Source organism: Homo sapiens, chromosome 12 (genome assembly GCF_000001405.40).
Source record: "Homo sapiens chromosome 12, GRCh38.p14 Primary Assembly".
Lineage (NCBI taxonomy): Eukaryota > Metazoa > Chordata > Mammalia > Primates > Hominidae > Homo > Homo sapiens.
Genome location: NC_000012.12, coordinates 40,415,832 through 40,437,132, shown reverse-complemented (window position 1 = coordinate 40,437,132; position 21,301 = coordinate 40,415,832). Strand labels below are relative to the sequence as shown.

At 33.7% G+C, this 21,301-nt stretch overlaps 1 protein-coding gene and 1 long non-coding RNA gene across 6 annotated transcripts in view, besides 1 other annotated feature; one reads left to right on the top strand and one right to left on the bottom strand.

The window, feature by feature from the left end:
- LOC105369736 (uncharacterized) overlaps window positions 1–21,301 on the top strand; it is an 89,145-nt gene that overhangs the window by 6,764 nt on the left and 61,080 nt on the right. For all 5 annotated transcript variants that reach the window (XR_944868.3, XR_944869.3, XR_007063562.1 and 2 more), the window contains exons 2-3: window positions 16,822–16,913; window positions 20,695–20,832. This is a non-coding gene — a long non-coding RNA (uncharacterized LOC105369736). The remainder of the gene's footprint in view (window positions 1–16,821; window positions 16,914–20,694; window positions 20,833–21,301) is intronic.
- The window catches only part of MUC19 (mucin 19, oligomeric (gene/pseudogene)), a gene marked incomplete in the record, with an annotated part of 177,364 nt that overhangs the window by 133,625 nt on the left and 22,438 nt on the right, over window positions 1–21,301 (bottom strand). Inside the window, 18 exon segments of the mRNA NM_173600.2 lie at window positions 390–516; window positions 942–1,036; window positions 3,220–3,369; window positions 4,369–4,506; window positions 4,671–4,755; window positions 5,415–5,507; window positions 7,456–7,591; window positions 9,040–9,163; window positions 9,637–9,759; window positions 10,516–10,726; window positions 14,932–15,029; window positions 15,233–15,293; window positions 15,810–15,927; window positions 16,698–16,926; window positions 17,900–17,959; window positions 18,953–19,003; window positions 20,774–20,815; window positions 20,903–21,085. Coding sequence (NP_775871.2) covers window positions 390–516; window positions 942–1,036; window positions 3,220–3,369; window positions 4,369–4,506; window positions 4,671–4,755; window positions 5,415–5,507; window positions 7,456–7,591; window positions 9,040–9,163; window positions 9,637–9,759; window positions 10,516–10,726; window positions 14,932–15,029; window positions 15,233–15,293; window positions 15,810–15,927; window positions 16,698–16,926; window positions 17,900–17,959; window positions 18,953–19,003; window positions 20,774–20,815; window positions 20,903–21,085 — 2,124 coding nt within the window.
- Window positions 18,213–18,382: an enhancer, noted in NCBI's record as "experimental_28494 CRE fragment used in MPRA reporter constructs". NCBI's record gives its function as "activates a minimal promoter by MPRAs in K562 erythroleukemia cells, with activity observed for both the introgressed and non-introgressed 12:40812638 variant alleles {active_cell/tissue: K562}" and the evidence as "EXISTENCE:reporter gene assay evidence [ECO:0000049][PMID:34662402]".

The window sequence follows — 21,301 nt, the reverse complement described above, 5'->3', positions numbered from 1 at the left end:
TATTGGTTCATTTTGTTTTTTTCTCAACATAAATTATTCATATTAAAATGTCATTTACAAATGCATTAGCGGTCACAACATTATTTAAATTTCAGCACACGATAATTGAACAGAAACATATATTTATATATAAATACACATATATTCTGCTTTTTCTTTATATGTGAATATATTAAATCAAGATCAATAAATCAAGAAGTAAAATATATAAGGATTGCACAAGGATATTAAAAATAAAACAGAAAAAATCATCTTTGAAAGAACCAGGTAAAAATTTGTAAACACATGTGCCTAAACCACACACACACACAACACACACACACACACACACACACGACTATAGCGAAACTGAGAAGGAAGTAGTTATTGAAATCTTCTCTGCTGCTTACCACATAGGCCAGTTCTCCATCCCACTATGTATGTTTCCTTCTCAGCACACGCTTTCACATAGTTGCCTAAAATTGTACATAGGCAGTCCTGACTGTTTTCACAAGTGCAAGTATATTTTTTGCATTCCTTGAAAATAAGAAACAAATTTATATTGCATTATGAAGTTACTCAGAAGAACAGGTAAACTGAGTATAATAATTTAGTTCCTAACCACTCTTCTACCCCAAAAAAGTTTCTTTGAAACTTTCAAAAACATTTTTAAATATTCAAAATAGTAAATGAATTACTAGCCTGCTTGTCAAAACATTTAGAAAAGGCAGAAAGAGAAACTTATTCAAGACTTTTCTTATTTGGGGTTATTTTCCAGAACCACTTTTGAAGTTGGTATATCTAACACAAGAATAAATTAATAGAATCTAATGCATATCTAAGGATATACTTTAATCTACTGACAATGGTTGTTATTTGAAAATATTTAATATCTACATGCTTTTGTCAATATCAGCAAAGTATTTCTCAACAAGAGGTGTTAATGTTAGAGCCTCACATACCTCATGATAGGGTTTAGGGTTCACAATTGGGTGGCAGGAAGCCAAAGGCCCACTTGAATCAAGAAGAATTCCACAGTGCCTTTCAGCAAATTTTTCTGGAAGAAAATCAGTGCACTCAAAATTAGTTTCAGTAATGATATAATACTATACTTTCTTTTTTTTTTTTTTTGAGATGGAGTCTCACTCACCCAGGCTGGGGTGCAATGGCATCTCGGCTCACTGCGACCTCTGCCTACTGGGTTCAAGCGATTCTCCTGCCTCAGTCTCCTGAGTAGCTGGGATTACAGGTGCGTGCCACTACGCCCAGCTAATTTTTTGTATTTTTAGTAGAGATGGAGTTTCACCATGTTAACCACGAAGGTCTCGATCTCCTGACCTTGTGATTCGCCCACCTTGGCCTCCCAAAGTGCTGGGATGACAGGCATGAGCCACCGCACTCGGCCATAATTCTTTAATTGAAAGAAAAGATGTAAAATTTTAATAATTCTCACTATTAAAACAATTTTTAAAGTGTTTTGCTGTAATACATCTAACTTGTCACTATGTGCAAAAATGGCATGCTGTAATTTAAAAAAAATCTTACACTAAGAGGCAAAGTCTTTGTTAGCTTTGGATTTTTGGATTAAATCAATTTACCTTTCTCTGAAATGCAGTTTCTATATAAAAATGGAATTAGGGGACTATATTATATCTTTAGATGTCTTTTAACTTTAAAATATATACTTATAGCTAAATTCTGATGAGTTGGCAAATAAATCAACAACAACAGCCCCCCCTCCACCCCCACTACACGATCCCTGTCACCTCAGAAGATTATATCAGTTTTCCTGAAGGTCATATATTAGCACAACCAGTATCAATAATTCCAATACACTAAGTTTGTTTTGTTTTTTAATTGGTATTTCGTTGGCTTATAAATAACTAGCATAGTATTAAATTAACAAAAAAAATCATAACAATAGCATCTGAGTAACAAGTGCTTGGCTTAATGATTTTTGGTAATAAAGGAAGCTGTCTCTATTAAAAACAAACTGAGGCCAATTATTTCAAAATTTTTAACAAATTTGCAACCCAGTATCACCACTTTTTATCTAAATATTACTAGCAGATTAGTAAAATACAGTTTAATTTTCTGTATTTTATGTTAAGTTAAATGTAAAGCACTGAAAATTAAATTTAATTAATTTATATATCTCTCCAAAGTGGTGGCATATAGTCTGCTTAACATAAATTGACTTGCTTTCTTATGAGATATACATTCTCATTATAATTGTTTTCACTGCAACACACCAAAACCAAAATAATATGATAATCAAAACCCTGAAATATATATTACGATGTTTACATTAATGCTTCTAACAACTCTCTTAAATCAAAATTAGTAAACTATGCTTTCAAAAGGAATTGCCTTAGTAATGTTAAAATATTATTATAATCTGATAAGACTATTTCTAATATTTATTAATTTAGAAACAACTAATTAACATGTCAATATAATATATTTTAACTTAGCTTCCATTGCACTCTTTTTTTAATGAAAGAAGCAACACAAAATAAAACATTTGTTAGTATCAGCAATACCAGGGGAGCAACCAAAGCATGACTTGGATTTAAAATACTTGGATTTCTGATCTGTCATCCTTACTCACTAAGGATCTTTATTAACCCTCTCTGTGCTCCATTATCATTATCTACATTAGTGGGGGTAATAGTCCCGCCTATACTGTTCATGAGTTTTGGTAGAAATAAATTGCAGTAATATTTTAAAAGCCTTTTGGTAAGCATAAATGTAAGCTGAATCATACCAGTGTAAAGTTTAATTAATTTCTGTATTGGGGCTTGGACAGCAGTGGTTAGGACACCTGGACCTAGCTATAGCTCTTTCATCAAGTGGCTTCACCAGTTTGGGCAAGTCTTGCTATTTCAACCAATGACCATTTTTATAACTAAGTTAAAGGAGGGAATAATTGAAGAACTAAATGTGCCCCAAATCTCTTCTAATCTTGTTATTCTATAATGATGGTGAAAATTGTGTAAGGAGGAAAAGAGTAGATATAGAAAACCAAACAACCAAGATGAACTCCCAGTGAAATATTTGTTTTATAGGAATAAGATCAGCCAGCCAGACTGCTTCTCTGCTGTGTCCTCCAAAATTCAGACAGTACAACAAAAACTAGCTTAAACCAGGATTATCATATTATTACATATATACATACATAAGTACATAATTCCTAGCAACAAATATGTAATTACAGATTTGATAGTCAATTAATATTACCTTTTTCTATACTAATACATGAAGAGGGGTTTCCTTTAGGACAGGACATCATTTCCCAAGAGTTAGCAAATGCCTGAGATGTCTTCTCCAATATATTCTGACTTGACATGAAATCATCCTCTGCTTTGTTGTTGTAGGAACCACAGAGTCCTGTGTAAGAGCACACAACAAAGTTTCACATCTCCTCACCTACTCAATTTTTTGGATTCACATCCTCACTGCACATTCAGTTCTTCACCCAAGTGAAAACCTGTAGAAGCTACCTGAGAATATGTCTTGTTTAGCCTTCATACATTAAGAAAAATTTCATGGCATTTCAGATTTCACCCAAATGCCCTTTCATTAGAATTCCAGGAGCACTGAAACGCCATTTGCCATGAATACTGTCTTTTTCCTGTTTGTCACTGTAACTTTATCTCTTTTGAGGAGCCAACAGAAAGTGTGCTTATAAGTGGGAACTTAGGACTCACATTTGCATGATTTCAGTGTGGAGAGTTGAATCATGTTGAGTGCTATATGCCTTTTTTACCTGGACCCTTCTGACCTATAAGTTACATCTATTCCTTTGTGTAAATAAGTTACCTTCTCAAGTAAAGGTGTGTTACAAAAGCTTCTACTGTTTATAAATTAATAGTCTTTGTGGCACTTGCCATAATCTTTGTTTGTTTTGCTCAACTTTTATGGCTGTAGTTAACTGATTTCTAAGATAGAAAACATCAGTGAAAGAAATGACCATATGATCTCCCAGAAAGACAAGTCATAGTGTAGCTTTTATATGAATTGTGATTTTCAAAAGATTTATATCTACAATATTTTCATTTATTCAACTACAGGTTAAAGCCTTAGTAGCACATACTAGCAAAGTGATACATTAACACATATATTATCAAATCTCATTTAAATAAAAGCCTTAATTTAAAATGTTTAAAATATTTAAATTGTTCAAATCTTTACAGAATAGATTTTGTAATAAGTAAAGGCATATTTACTAGAAAAAGCAAGTTGGAATTATTTTACTACAATGTGGAAGGAAAGATTAAGTCAAAATGGTTTATTGGTTTAATGTTATTAATTAAGAGACAATGGAAATTAGAATAAGTGATGGTAATATTTCAGCCTTGGGAATAAAACTGTATCCAGAGGACTTACCCACAGTGTCTGTGAATTGGTTGGGTGGCATAGAAACATACAATTGCATCACAGGAACAATTTGTATTTGTAGTTTCACATGAAAGTATGTTTCTACTTGAAGGTATGAGGAAGATGCATTGAATATCTGTATTTTATCTGTTAAAATAATTATGAACATTAATAACATGTTCAACAGTTTTTACTTTCTTAAAATACTTTAACATTTTGATATCTGTTAAAAGTCAGAAACGTAATAGCTTTAGAAATTGAATAAATGACTGCATCTTACACTTATTTTAAAATGTTGTCATTAAACTTACCTGAATAGTAATAACCTTGATTTCTAATCTTGTCATTTGTGACTGTTCCATCACTGTTGAATACGTATTTGTCAACTGGAACAGACTAATATTTAAAACACTTTGTTAATATTAATTTACAGTATTAATTTTAATGTAATATATGAACCCAAATTTTTATGTCATGTTTAATGCTATTGGATTAATTAATAAATATCTAAAATATAGACATTTTAAAAGCATTTTTAAGGCACACTTTGCTTCCTTGTTTCTCATACCAACTCTGTGTAGCAGATTGTAAATAAATCTTCATCCCCAACGTGTGGATGCAGAAATGGAAACCTAAGACAGTAACTTGGGTATCCAAAGGTTAAACAGCTTGTAAAGGCCAAAGTCCAAACTACTCGTCTTCCCTTCCCATTTAGGTCTATTTCCACTTATAATGTCAACTCCAAATAAATAAAACTCTAAACTAATGCCATTGCCTTCCTTCATAAATGGTCCGCAAAGTTTAACACTTCAATGAACACATAAATTTGATCCATAATCAACATATTAATTGTATACGTAGAGTAATTTTGATATACTTCAAGACCTTTGCAACTAGCCGGCACTTCCAGAGACTTCATCAATTTTCTATGCAATTTTACTTAAGCTTTGATTATACATAGTAAAACTTCTCTTCTTCAACCTCAGAAATCCTGAATTTATAAAATAAGTGATATGATTTGACTCTGAATAAGGCTTAGGAAGCTTATTACTTACAGAATTCAAGAGAAGTGTAACGCTATTTAAGCACGTTCCTGTCTGACCACTTGGGCACGGACGGAGCTCAACACTAATAGACCAATCTTCATTCTGTAAAAAATGAATTTCATTAAAATGTTTATTAGAATGTCATTTAATTCTATTTATGGTATGCTATTACTAGGTAATTCATTCCAAATGAAAGTTTGAATTTTAAATATGTACAATTCCTACTACAATCAGAGTGCTCTGAGAATAGAAACCTAGTTCAGCCCATAGTACAGCCTCAGGACTGGCCAAGAGCTTTATAGATGGTCCAAGTATCTTGCATAAACTATATCCGTGTAGTTTACCATTGATGAATTTTCACAGTCATCATTTTTTAATTTTATTTTTACTTTTTGTCTTCCCAAAGGGAATGTGCTGCCACATAAGGACTCTTAGGAATTAGCAGTAACATAGTTTGCCTCTCTTCTCTGGACAGTTCACAATGTCTATTTAAATCCAATGTGGGAGGTATTTAATTTGTTAAACTGTAATATAAGTCATATCAAACATGGACTTCCAGATCTCATTTCAATGTCTGGAAATCTGTAATCTATAAGAAGCAAATGTTCCCTACGCTTTGTCATTTTTCCCTCTTACTTTCCCCATCCTGTATCCTAATGGATTTAGAGGAGCATAAAAAGAAGGAATGGCAGGCCTGGCACAGTGGCTCAAGCCTGTAATCCCAACACTTTAGGAGGCCAAGGTGGGAGGATCACCTGAGGTCAGGAGTTCGAGACCAGCCTGGCCAATACGGTGAAACCCCGTTTCTACTAAAAATACAAAAATTAGCCAGGCGTGGTGGCGGACGCCTGTAATCCCAGCTACTCGGGAGGCTGAGGCAGGAGAATCGCTTGAACCCAGGAGGCAGAGGTTACAGTGAGCTAAGATCAAGCCATTGCACTCCAGCCCGGGTGACAAGAGTGAAACTCCATCTCAAATTAAAAAAAAAAAAAAAAAAAAAAGAAGGAAAGGCAGATTATGTTGGTAGGCAACCAAGAAGCTTTATTTTGGAAGAGTGACTTTTAGTAGCAGCAACTACATTTTGTAGCTTATAGGACATTAAACAACATTTCTCAGTTCAGGATTCATAAATTCTGTTCATTTCTTACCAGACAGATTATATAAAATCGCTAATTCTCAGGTAGACTAGATTGCTAATCCTCTGTAGCACAAAATACAAAATGGAATCACTCTTTCATTGAAATTCAAATGACTTAAAATTTTCGTACTGAGAAGAATCTAAATGTAAGAATAGCCTCTATCTTAGTGTTATTATTATATTATAAAAACTAAAAATAAATTTAAGGGAATAATAATGGAAGTGAAAGATGCTTCACGGAATGTAAAAGATTATTTTGACTGGGTGTGGTGGCTCACGCCTGTAATCCCAGCACTTTGGGAGGCCAAGGAGGGCAGATCACGAGGTCAGGAGGTCGAGAACATCCTTTAAATGGTGAAACCCCGTCTCTACTAAAAATACAAAAAATTAGCCGGGCGTGGTGGCGGGCACCTGTAGTCCCAGCTACTTGGGAGGCTGAGGTGGGAGAATGGCGTGAACCCAGGAGGCGGAGCTTGCAGTGAGCCGAGATCATGCCACTGCACTCCAGCCTGGGTGAAAGAGTGAGACTCCATCTCAAAAAAAAAAAAAAAGATTATTTTATTTGAAGCAGTAGTGAACAGTGAGCACACACAAAGAAAAGCAGAAAAATGAAATAAATTCCCTGTGTATTTAGATGATTATGAGTGAATGAAGAGCGTTCTATTTGTTAGGTTGTTTTTTTGCAAGGAATTTCCAAGGAGGACAGGTAGTGTTAATTTAATACTGACAGGTAATACCATCAGTGCCAGTATGTGATAGAAAGCATACTGAAATACATAGCCAGTAACTGAAGGATTGTTCACTTTTTATTTCTTTAAATACTAATTCAAGGTGAAGATTGTGTTCTAAATTGGTTGAGGAATAGCTTTGTTTGTATATCAGTTTGCTCAAATATTGCAGGCTATTACATACGTGAACGGCCAGGAAGTGGCAGTTTCCAGGAAAGTTGTACTTAACACCATCAAAGGTGGTAAGGGAACTTCCTTCCACCTTACATCTTCCAGGGCATAATGCTTCGGTGCAAGACCACTTTGCATCTTGGCATGTGCTATTAAAATGTAATGGTTATATTGAGGGTTATCAATTGTATTTTCTCTATGGTGAAAATAAAATATCACACTAAAAAATCATCACAAGTTAAGACATTTGGTTAAGCTTTATTAGACCATCTTTGTTTCCCACCCAACGTCTCAGCTCTGATAAAATGTCTCATTGATGGTGGTAGCCTGATATTTTAGAAGCCCTGACTATAATGATAACTTCTCATGAATTAAGCATATGAAACTTACAAGCTGGATTTCAGAGATTTTTTAAAATGGAATACGGTTCATTATCAGTATTAAAATACCTGCCACAAGCCACATTGTAGAATTGCACCACACAATACATCGAGCAAGCTTTTGAAATGTGTCTCATCTAAATTGAGACCCACTATAAATGTAAAAGACATACAGATTTTGAAGACTTAAGGAGGAAAAAAAAATTGTAAAATCTCTCATTAACTTGATTTCATATTAATTTTATGTGTAAATAATAGTATTCTAGATATATTGGGTTGTATAAAATACACGACTAAAACTAATTTCACCTGTTTCTTCATGTCTTTTAAAAATTTGTCAACTAAAAACTGTTAAATGATATATGTGGATCATTTTTGTAGCCTACATTATATTTCTCTTGAACAGTGCTCTTATAGACATTTAATAAATTATAGCTACTATTATTTATAATTCTTCATACAAATTAAAATTAATTATTAATATACATATAATATAAATTAATATTGATTATTATCACCAAAATAAAACATTTTCCATTTATAGAGAAAATAGATTTTTTTATTAAGCCAAATTATGTCCCCAGAAAGACACAATACATTTCAGGAAAAGTATTTTGTAGTATTGCAGAAATTTAGAGCTTCAGAGAAAAGCCATAATGAAGACTGGGGAAATCTCAATGGTCATTATATTGTTGTGGAACTCAGAAGGAAGACCCAAGCTGGGTATTCAGTTAATAGTGAAATCATCTACAATAACTTTTGGTACATTAAAATTTACTGATGAATAGATATATTATTCATCTTCACCAATCTAGCCACATATAAAAACTATTTGAAAAGTATTTGGCTCTTTCTAACTGTATGTTTTATTAAATATTCTTGGCAGAATTAGCATCATTATTGTTTCATTATTATAACCAAAATCTTATACTATACTTTGTTCTATATTTGCAACTGCCAAGTGGTTTACTATTGAAAACACTGTTTCTGTTAGTGAATATTATCTTTTAAAGGCACCAAGAAAGATCATATATTTTATAATAAAAAACACACTGAGTCTAAAAACAAAACATCAACAACACAGAAAATGCAGTGAGATTGCTTTTTATTTCTTAAAAGTTTATTTTAAGGGTGCATTTAGGAATTTTTTCAAATTATATAAAAATATTGGTATTATTTTACCATCAGTAATATGTGAACAAAAAGCACACACATACCACTGAGAACCACAAGGACCTTCTCGGACTTCTCCTGGCTGATACACTGTTCCACTGGATTCACAGGGACATTCAGCTTTTAATACACATTTTCCTTTCTCTCCAATGTCATCCAACAGATAACCTAGAACACATCATATAAGGCTAACCACAAAACTCTACAAACATCAGTAAATTGTTCAGCAGTGTGTTGTGAAATTACTCTTGAGATAGTTCTTTCGAGCGTAACATGCACTGAAAATGATAATTTCTTGTTAAAGCAATTACTCCTAATTTGAAAACTGGCAAGAGTATAGAAAACAATTTTCTGAGTTTGAGTTACTGCTACACAGTGCACAGTCCTATTGCACTCAATGTGGGACTAAAACATATTCTGTGGAATACAGAAGCCCTCAGGTATTGTAGAGATGGAAATACACATTAGCTTTAAAATTCTCTCTAACCCTCCTCTGCAGTTTGCTAAGAGGATATATTAGAAGTAGTTAAATTGTTGGAATGTCATGCTATAAATAAGACACCACTCTGACATGACTTGAGTTCCACTTTGTTTTTAGCTTTTGTTTTGTTTTAGTGTAAATACTCTCATTGGTGTACTACCTTCTGGGCAGGTGCAGCCGCTCACACATTCACTGTCTTGAAAAGGAGCCACATTAGAACAAGTTGCAGGGTTGGAGGGTCCACATTCTTTGTAGATATGTTGTTCTGGACATCTTTGTGTTCCTGGAGAAATATAAAAATATGTGTACACGGATATTAGAGGAAACTAATGTAATAAATACACACTCTTCTAAGGAGGAGCTTTTCAAATGGAATTCTTTGAGTCTGAGTTACAAGGTAGAAGTCAGCCTTTAAAGATACTCAGTACAACTAAATTATGCCAATTTCCTGTGCATTATTTTATGATACAATATCTAATTTACAGGAAATATATATTTTCTGTAATTTCATTTCATCGTAAGTTGAAATTTATATTCTGCTTGTATTATGAGGATTGACTTAAGCATATGTGGAAAGTATGTTTGTATATGAAGCTCGTATTTACACTTTATTAATCTTTTTGAAAGAAAATGATAGCACTAATCAGTATACATTTGATAAATTGTCCAGTTATTTTTTACAGAATTTACTTGTGGTTTTCAGTGACTTTTTTTGATTGTAATGAGTACAACATTTTAAATTAGATCTTAACACAAAGCACTGCAATTTGAGGTGAGTCACATCACCTAAACGAACCTGTTTCCTTGTAAGTACATGTGACAAATGAGACTTCATCATCTCTAGGATCCCCTTCCAGGGCTTAGAATCATTTGAGATTACATTGCAATGGAGCTTAACTTCAAAGTACTGTATACCTATGTATCAAACCTGCATGTTGTGCACATGTACCCTAGAACTGAAAGTATAATTTTAAAAAATAAGAAAAAAAATACTGTAGAAACTTACAGAGCTGTAACTACAATGAAGGTAAAAACCTACCACAAACCACATCGGAGTCGCTTCGCCAGGATTCAAAGGTGCCAGGACCATCTGAGGCACAGAGGCGGGACAGTTCTGAATAAGTGTCACATGTAGATGTTTTGTCTCTAGTTTGGCAGTATTCATCAATGCAGATCATTTTGTAGTCATTGGATAGAGCAGCAACCTTTCCACATTTCTCAAAGTAGGTTCCAATAATTTTGTTACAGTGCTACAAAATAAAGCATGTTATTTTATTAAAACGGGCAATAAAAATAAGAAAAATGGGCAATAAGGATAATGGGCAATAAGGAATCGTTTAAAGGATAAATACAGAAGTTTTTTGTTTTTGTTTTGCATTATATCCTGTAGCTTTGACAAGGAAAGTGCTTGGATGCTGTTTGAAATAGAGGTTTTTGAAGTATTATGGTTGGTAACATGACTCCTAAATGAATACTGTTGGATTCTTGGCATTTTGGATTGTTGTATAACGATGTTCATTGAAATGGAGGTTTTTGAAGTATTATAGCTGGTAAAGTGACTCCTAAGAGAATACTTCTGGAAACTTGGCATCTTGGATTGCTATGTAATGACTTCAAAATTTATTGTACTTCAGCTTATCCAAACCATCTTTAAAGGTGACATGAATTTTAGAGCTAGAGAAAATGGAAGCGGTGAGAAGAGAGATTGATTAATGCCAAAGATTGGGATGGTACTTGATAGAATACCATAATAGACAGAAGGGATATTGTCCCTTTAACTGTTAATCTCCTCATATTTTATAATCAAACAGATGACCATAAAATAAAGTGACTCTGTCCTTTCTTAGTCGGAGTCATGGGTATTTGCTCTGGGAACAACATATTTGTTCTGTTTCAGTAAAAGAAGTAATGACATATATTATTGAATGAAAAAAGTTCTAATTTCAACATAGTTCAACCACCATATAGCTGTTTTCTATTGTAATAATTTGTTTGTTTTTAGAGAAACAAAAAAGCTACTGTCGAACAAATGTACAATTTTTTTAATTATTATTATTTTTGAGACAGAGTCTCGCACTGTCTCCCAGGCTGGAGGGCAGTGGCGTGATCTCGGCTCACTGCAACCTCCACCTCCCAGTTCTAGCAATTCTCCTGCCTCAGCCTCCCGAGTAGCTGGGATTACAGTTGCCCACCACCACGCCCAGCTAATTTTTTGTGTTTTCAGTAGAGACGGGGTTTCACCATGTTGGCCAGGCTGGTCTTGAACTCCTGACCTCGTGATTCACCCGCCTTGGCCTCCCAAAGTCCTGGGATTACAGGCATAAGTCACCTCACCCGGCCCGAACGTACAATTTGTACCAACTAGGCTGGAGGCAGGCTGATAACATTCTCCAAATGAGGTATAAAATTAAGTGAAACAAAATCTTCAAATATTACTCTTCACCTATTTATTTTTTGTACATTTTTCTCACTAGATTATAGATTTCTGTAGAGTAAGAAATATGAATTTTTATGCTCTGGGCTAAACACAATATCTTGTACATAAGTTGAATATCTTGTACATAAGTTGGTCCTTAGTAAATATACATTGGTTTGAATGTAAATTGATGTAATCATTTAACTAACACTTTTGAGCAGCAAGGAATAAGTTTTCAACGTATTATGCAACTACCGCAATGTATAATCCCTATTATCATGGAACTTCTAATTTTATGGGGAACATATGAGAAAAACTTGGGCAATTTTTATAGATGGTATCTTATTATAAGTACCAATGAGAGCCATAAGGTAAAAAAAAAAGAAAGAGAAACCAATTCCAACTGCAAAGATCAAGTAAGATTTCACAACGAAGATGCCAGATGATCTTGTATAATGCCACTGTGTAATTTTTTTTTGCTGTAAGATGACTGGATGGCTATAATTGCAACACCCTCTTTCAATAAAACAAAAATATTTTTATCAATACTAGCCACACATTTCTTGATCTTGAGAATTCTATTCTAGTTGCAATAGGAATGTGTGAACATTCATTCAGTCACCAAATGGATGCAGTCTATCAAATTCAACATAATAGCATTACAGAAGTGCAGAAAATTCACAGAGTAAATGATAACTATTTGCAAATGCTGTTGTCAAAAATATTATCTGTAACTTTCTTAAAAAGAAAGTAAAATATATGAGGGATGACAATTCAGACTGGCTATCTGGGGCGAAAGTAAGGGAGTGGAACATAATGGATTTCAAAACTGTAAGAGAGGAATCAAAGACAGTACCCATCAAGAGATGACAGCGCAAAGGTGAAGCATGTCAGTTTCCATAAAGACAAACTAAAACACTATGCAAAGGAAATTATAATTGTTACACTAATATATGGTAAATATCATAGTGTTTGGGAGGGAAATTATTTTGGCACATACAGCTAGACTAAAGCTGAAAAACAGAAAATAGGAACATTGGAGAGGAATTAGTTACAGAATTCTAAGAAGAAGATATGAGTGCTTAGGAGAATATGGAACCAAGGGCTTAAATTGGAACCAAGGGCTACAAAGCCATGGTAATAAAAACAGCATAATAATGGCATAAATACAGACACACAGACCAGTGGAACAGAAGAGAGAGCCCAGAAATAAATCCAAACATACACTGCCAACAATCTTTGACAAAGGCACCAAGAAGACACAATGGTGGATAGGATGGATTCTTCACTAAACGGTGCTAGAAAAACTGGTTTTCCACATGCAAAAGAATAAAATTAAACCCATATATTATACCATACACAAAAATCAATTCAAAATTAATCAAAGACCTAAATTTAAGGCCAGAAAATATAAAATCTCAAAAGTAACACAGGAGAAAAGGTCCTGCACATTGGCCTTGGTAGTGATGCTTTGGATATCACACCAAAAGCTCAGGCCACAAAAGCAAAAATAAACAAGTGGGACTGCATCAAATGGTGCTTCTGCATAGCAATGAAACAATTAACAAAATTAAAGCATAGCCTAAAAATTGGAGGTGAAATTGTAAACCATATATCTGATTAAGGGTTAATATCCAAAATTTATAAAGAACATATAAAACTCAAAAGTGGAAAAAGAAATAAACCAATTAAAAATGGGCAAAAGACTTAAATAGACATTTCTCAAAAGAAGACATACAAATGGCCAACAGGTATATGAAAGGTCCTCAACATCATTAATCATCAGGGAAATGCAGCTCAAAATCACCAAGAGATACCACCTCACACCTGCTAGGATGGCTATTATCAAAAAGTTAAAAGATAACAGAGCTGGCAAGAGTGTGGAGAAAAGGCAAGTCTTATACACTGTTGGTGGAAATGTAGATTGGTACAGCCATTATGAAAAACATGATGGAGATTTCTAAAGAGATTAAAAATAGAACTACCCGCCGGGCGCAGTGGCTCACGCCTATAATCCCAGACCTTTGGAAAGCCAAGGCGGGCGGATCACTAGAGGTCAGGAGTTTGAGACCAGCCTGGCCAACATGGTGAAACCCCATCTCTACAAAAAATACAAAAATTAGCCAGGCCTAGTGGCATGTGCCTGTAACCTTAGCTACTCGGGAGGCTGAGGCAGGAGAATCCCTTGAACCAGGAAGGCAAATGTTGCAGTAAGCAGAGATCATGCCACTGCACTCCAGCCTGGGTGACAGAGTGAGACCCTGTCACAAAAAAAAAAAAAAAAAAAAAAAGGAACTAATATATGACCCAGCAATCCTTCTTTTGGGCATATACCCAAAGGAAATGAAATACCACCTTGTAAAGATATTTGCACTCCTGTGTTCATTGCAGCATTAATCATAATAACTAACATATGGAAACAACCTAAATGTTCACAAATAAACAAATGGATAAAGAAACTGTGGCTCATATATGCACAATGGAATATTATTCAGCCCTAAAAAAGAACAAGATCTTGCCATTTGGCATAACATGGATGAGCATGGATGACATTATACTAGTGAAATAAGCCAGAAACAGGAAGATGATCATGCAACATCTTTATGTGTAATCTTTTTACACATAAAGATGTGCAACACCTACATGTGTAATCTTTTTTAAAAAATTAAGTCTGGAGAAATAGAGAACAAAACAGTGGTTACAGGGGCTGGGGGAGTCTTGAGATCTAATGTACAATCTGAAGACTGTAAGTAATAAAATTGTACTGTATCTGGGATTCATGCTAAATGAGCAGATTTCAGCTGCTCTTACCACAGAAACAAACAAACAAAAAAAAGTTGAAGTATCTTTCAGATGAGATGATGGATATGTTAATTTGCTTCCCTGTAGTAAATTTTTTACTATCCATGTGTATCACATACCAGACAAACATATATACATGTTGTCTATCTTAAATATACACAATAACATTTATTTTAAAAAAGAAACCAAGGGAACTATTGCTAGAATTTGCTACACAAGGAAATATAAATTTCTTACCTGTATTCCATCTTCACAAACTTCATAGCTTTTACCAACAGCATTGGGACAATCACCAGGAATTTTACTATTGGCAATGTGCTCATTAATATCTTGCCCTTAAAAAGAAAGCATTGTTTAGTTTAAGTTATTCTTTTTATGTGTGCATTATTTTCAAGCTACATATGAACTTGGCAATGTAAATTTTTTTTTCATTTTAATGAGTTCTCATTCTTTAGACAAAAGAAAATTGAAAAATTATTTTAGTTTTTAGCTTTATTTTGGAAAGCAAGTTCTTAGGAATGATACATTGGAATGTTACCTGGAGTGCTGTTGAAGTTACCACAAAGACCACAAGTTGGATACTGCTTGTGAAGAGTGAGCTTTAAAAATAAATTACATGTATATGTTCATGAAATGTTAAACATATCTCAAAACAAAATGTACCCAAACCAAAGGGCCACGCCTCCTCAAATACAATTCTATCTAAGCTGGTTACTTAGAGATGTTAGAGGGCTTTTTCTTAAGGACCTGGCTCTGGAATTTGAATAGGTCCTGAGGCCACCATTTACTAACTATGTGTCTTTGAAAAAATTATTTGGTACAAAAGTAATTGCAGTATTTGCCATTTAAAAGTAATGGTCAAAACTGCAATTACTTTCGCACCAGCCTAATAACTTTCTTACTCTGCATTTCCTGAGTTTCATCATTTGCAAAATATTATTAATAGTATTTTAAGATATTTTGAATATTAAATGAGATAATGTTTAGTATAGTGACTAATACATAGAGATTTCTCAATAAGCCTTAGCTCTTACTTCCCTAATAATGTATTGTTTTTGTAACTTAACTAAAGGACAAAAAGCACAGGATTATAAGAAAATCATAGATAGACTTACCGAGAGTTTGTTATTTTTGTCCCACATTAAAGTCAGGATTCCTCTACGGCTATTCAGAACATTATGTTCTCCATATTTTTTTATGTGAATCAACTTATTGTTATATGGTATCTGTACAGTGAAAAATATAAAATACAAGTATATGTAAAAAGGTAAGAATCATGCTATTATAATATGTTTTCTGATAATTCATGTCACCCAACAATTTAGTATCTTATACTTGCTGGTAAATATTGAAGTTTTTTTTATCAATTCAGAAAAAGAGAAACAATGGCTTTTTTGAATATTGGAAGAACTTCTAAAAAACAACTAATAGATCCTTGGGGCTTTGGAGAAATTAACAGGATGAAACATTGGTTTGGTGTCAGAAAAAAATAACTTGAAATGTTCACAAGTAGAATATCATGCCTCATTTTCTTATCCTGGAAAGTATTCAAATATGCCATCCCTTCCAAATCTGAATTGCTCCCTCTAAAAATTATGGACTAAGAGTTTTAATCTCCTCAATTTCTAACTTATAAAATCTTAAATTTATACTTGGCGTTAAACTTGCAAATGAAAACTGAAATGTCCTGAGATGTTCAACAAAAATATTCAGTTTTGTTGAATACACGTTTCCCATAATCTAGATAGTCAGTATACTCAAACAACAGAATTTTTTTCCTTCTTGTTACAGGAATAAATATAATGTCTTACAATCCGAAATAGGTCAAAGTCTTACACATTTATCAAACTCTTGGCCAATGATCAATTATAAATATCGATAAGAGCATCAAAATAGGAAGAAAGTATCATCTCCCTTTTTATCTTTTTCTTTTTTTTTTCCTTTTTTGCTCAGGTTACTTCAAATAATTTTATATCATTTACCCAAAACACTACGTTATTTACCTTTCTCCATTAACTAAAATGGTGTCACCAAAAATAGAGACGTCGTTATTGTCAATTAGAACTGTTATTTTTTCAATCTCACTATCATTGTTTCGTTTGATCTCAATATTGAAATCCCCTCCAGATTCAATGCAGTGACGGCAGAAAGTGTATGGGCATGAAGATTCAAAGAAAAAGATGCGGCCGTTGAAAGATTTATATGCTCCTTTGCTCCAGGTAGATATTTCACCTATAAAATATTCAGAGGAACGTGTACATAATTATTTAGAACAATTAGCATACCTTCTAGGTCTGTTTTAAAGTGTTTTTGTCCTAAGAGAAATAAAATCACTGACAGGTTCAATTCTCACAGCCACCACCTTAAATCAGTGCTTTCTTTCTTTCACTACTGCAAAGACTCACTAAAACTAGTACATGAGTACTTCTTTAGCATACCCTAAGTTGGCTATTCTGGCTAAAATAAAGCAAGATTTAAAACATCTTGCTTCCCATAGGAAAACAAAAATTGTCTCTAATATGGGAAGGAATATATGGAGGGAAGTGGTGGTTTGTATGCTTTCTTGCTTTGCTTTTTTTGTAGAGATAGTTTTTCTAAGTCTGAATGAAGTCCCATTTATATTGAATGAAGGTAAAGAATTATGTCATTTATCTCTATACATATAAATGTGTGTATATATGAATGTGTATAGATGTATGTATATATGTGTGTGTGTATACATGTTTTTTTGGAGAAAAAATAGTACAAATGCGATATCACTCAAACATACAACGATTAAACAGACAGATGATGGGGACATTTTAAAAACTAGTTTCAGGCTGGGCACAGCGGCTCATGCCCGTCATTTCAGCATTTTGGAAAGCTGAGGTGGGAGGATCATTCGAGGCCAGAAGTTCAAGTCTGACTGGGCAACATAGCAAGACTCTGCCTCTACCAAGAAAAAGGAATATCCAGGCATGGTGGTGCCTTCCTATAGTCTCAGCTACCCAGGAGGCTAAGGCACGAGGATTCATGCCCAGGAGTCAGAGGTTATGGTGAGCTATGATTTCACCATTGCACTCCAGCCTGGATGACAGAATGAGACCTTGTAAATAAATAAATAAATAAAACGAGTTTCAAATTTTGTAAATTTGATTCTGTGACCTCATTAGGTACTGGCTTGGGCATAAATATATGAATGAATATCACAACCATTTTTACTTACCAATAATTGCATTTGTTTCTGAGTATTTTGGAGTTGCTTCTGGAATGTGGGATCCTTTTTCTATTCAACACAATGCACAGATTATTTCAATGTTAAGACATATATTCATTTTAAATATACAAGATATTGGAACTTCTACATGGGAACTTAAAAGTGGGCATTGAAGGCCATCAATGAATTTTTTATTCTGTATATTATATGACACATATAATAGATAACTTTGTGAGAGCTGGGACTTGCCAAAGTCACATACATGATTAACTCTACAGTCTACACTTTTTCAGTATGTTCACGAATCATTAAGAGCTTATGCATTTGCGGTCCTGTACAATTACTAACATATGCTGCACCCCTTAAAGAAATATTTTTCAACTTTAGAAATAAAACATTGCATGCTTATTTTTATCAGGAGCCATGACACAAATAGGACCGAGGTACATTTTAGTAAATCAGTCTATTATCTAATACTAATAATTTAATTATCTATAAGGAAAATTCAATTCTCCCACTCACAGGGCAAAATCTGTATACTTTAAAACTTTACATTTCCCATGATTGTTTATATCTAATGACCCTTTTTTGTAACAAATAAATTTATATTGCCTAAAAGCAAGCAACAACAACAATAACAAAAGTAGATGTTCTGATAGAATTGTAAAATCTTTTCCAAAATACTCTTTATCACCTATCTTGAAGCTTCTTCTCTTTACTACAGGTTGTATTTACTCAGACTGAGTGGAAATATATTGAACTCCTAATTTATTTATGAGGGCATTTAAAAAATACTATGTCTAAAATAGTAAAGGAGTTGTAATATGTTTTATTCGAATTCCCTTAAAATGTGGTTTAATCTCTCTATTTCATGAAATTGTTTCAAATACTTAGTTGGCCATCTAAACTTTAGTATCCAAAGAGAAGTAGCACTTAAGAGTTCAATATGAGAAAAAATAATATCAAGTCCTAGTAAATCAATAATCAGCAGAACATTACAACATTGTAAGTGTATATATATGTGTGTACCTTTTAAACACCCAAAGTCATAAATCAGATTACCTGGAGTATTGAGTGGTCCAGACGTACTATATTCAGACGAGCTTGTGACACCTATTTTAATACAAATTATCAGGCTATTTTATGTGTATAATTTTACTTGGTAAAGTGATTTTTAAAGACTATCTGACGGATAGACCATAGGTCCTAGTCCAGCAATGCTAATGCTAGCAGACTAAGACTGTGTAAAGCTGTACAAGAAAAAAAATATCAACTCAAAAATTTGCTGGGGTAAGAAAATTAAATGCCTTGCCTCTAAATTAACTGACACCAAATCAATTTTTTTCTAGATCATTTGTCTTAAAACTTGTCAAGGGTAACAGAAAAGAGTTCAGTACACAGGGTTCTAGGTCTCCTATCCCAGTGTCAACCAAACTGTTTCCCATTCTGAATTGTTTTACTTTTAGGAAACCTGGGTACTATTTCAAGAGGTCAATTAAACAAAAGATTCTGCACTCACAGAAACCAGAAATATGAAAACCACTAATCTAAATGAACTGACACCTTCATTAATGTCAAGAGATTCAGACATCCCATTTCAAAGCCACCAGATTTACTGCCATTAGGAACACTACCCAAAATAACACTACTTAGTAAAGTCTATCTCACGTGGAAAAATCAAAGCAGTTAAAATCTAACATCCAAATAGCCAAAAAAAAAAAAACACCACAAATTGGTAACCACTCCACACTAGAAACATAAGATGTAATTATTCTGAATACATTTCTCAGAAAGAAAACCTATATTTGAATACCTGAGCTAATGGTAGCCTATTTGGAGTTCCTAAATTAGGTGTCTTTTAAACCATTTGTACCAACTGTGATTAAAAAAAATCTGTGCCAATAAATAATAAATGACTTCAAATTTCTTAGTTCTATGGAAGTGTTGACTTCAAAACTGATGTCCAAAGTTTAAGAACGACCAAAATTAAAATTATTATTTCTGTATGGCCAGGCCTTTCTTGGAACAGGTTAATTGATAGTCAATCCTGTGTCAGGTCAACTGTTACTACACTACACTGTACGTCTTGCTCATTACATTTCACTTTTTAAGAAAAAGATATTAATCCTGAAGTTGAATTCTAAAGATTAATCCTGAATATTTTCCAGAACCTCCATTTTACTGGAAGTGATCCACTGCCCCCAGTTCTATTGTCGCCTACTTTAGTGGTTCCCAGGACATTCCAGCCCTGGTAACAGCATCAAAACAGTTTCTGCATCAAGAATACATATTATTTTAACAATTTGTACTACAAATTCCAAGACTATACAATCAAATGTTTTCATTAAGTGGAAATATTAAATTTTATAAGGATTTTAAAAATGGATGAAAGTCTTACTCTTCTCAGCAATGGGCTTGCAAAGAAAATTAAAGCCGCCAAGTCCAGATTTGGGATACAAAGTTTGAGACCAACAGTTCAGCTGCTACTTTAACTATCTCTTCAACTGACTCTAAATCAATTTTACATAAAAGCAACAAAAAGAATTCCACATTGATATATTCACAGCTGTGAAACCGGTTCCACATCTTACTCCAACAAATGTTAAATATCATTTGCCTGATTACATCTAAGTATATTTCAACATTCAAGAATGCAGACTTGCTTTTAAATTACTATTAATAGTGTTTCCAATTTTCATTGTTATTGTAAGATGTATCTTAGAATTCTGATTTTCTGATCATCAGAAATCTCAACACCTATGCCATAGGAATAAGATCCAGTAACATTGCTTCCATTATCACAGGTACCTGAACCACTAAGGCCAGTTTCACCAAATTCATTTAGTCCAGAAGCACCAACACCAAGTTCATCTGCACTCTTACCTCCTCCACCACTTCCAGAATCAGAAGACCAAGTGTTTCCTCCTAATGGAAATCAAAATGTGAGTAAAAGAAATAAAGAAGAAAGAAATTAATTGGAATTTCTTGGAAATAGAGTCCAGGTTAGGATACCTGAGTCACTGACATCAGATCCAGGACTCAAGTTTCCAGCCTCATCAGGGTCACTGCTTCTCTTTCTATTCCCACCAGTTCTACTGAGTTCAACTTCATGTTGATCAGATGACCCCAATATGACTCCTGAATCTTCAGAGATACCACTAGAATTTTCAAACCCATTTCTTGCACTTGAATCACCTGTTGAATACAAAATTATGGTCACTAGAATTACTTTCAATGCCTACTATGATTCAGAATCATTCGTGCACAGAAATTAACAATTAGTACCTAGCACTATAGCCTCCAGAACTACCTACTCCATTTCCATCAAAATCTTTACTACTATTGCCATTGTCACCAGATTGATTTGAACCAGAATCTCTAAAGTTAAATTCAGCTCCACCCTTCGTTTCT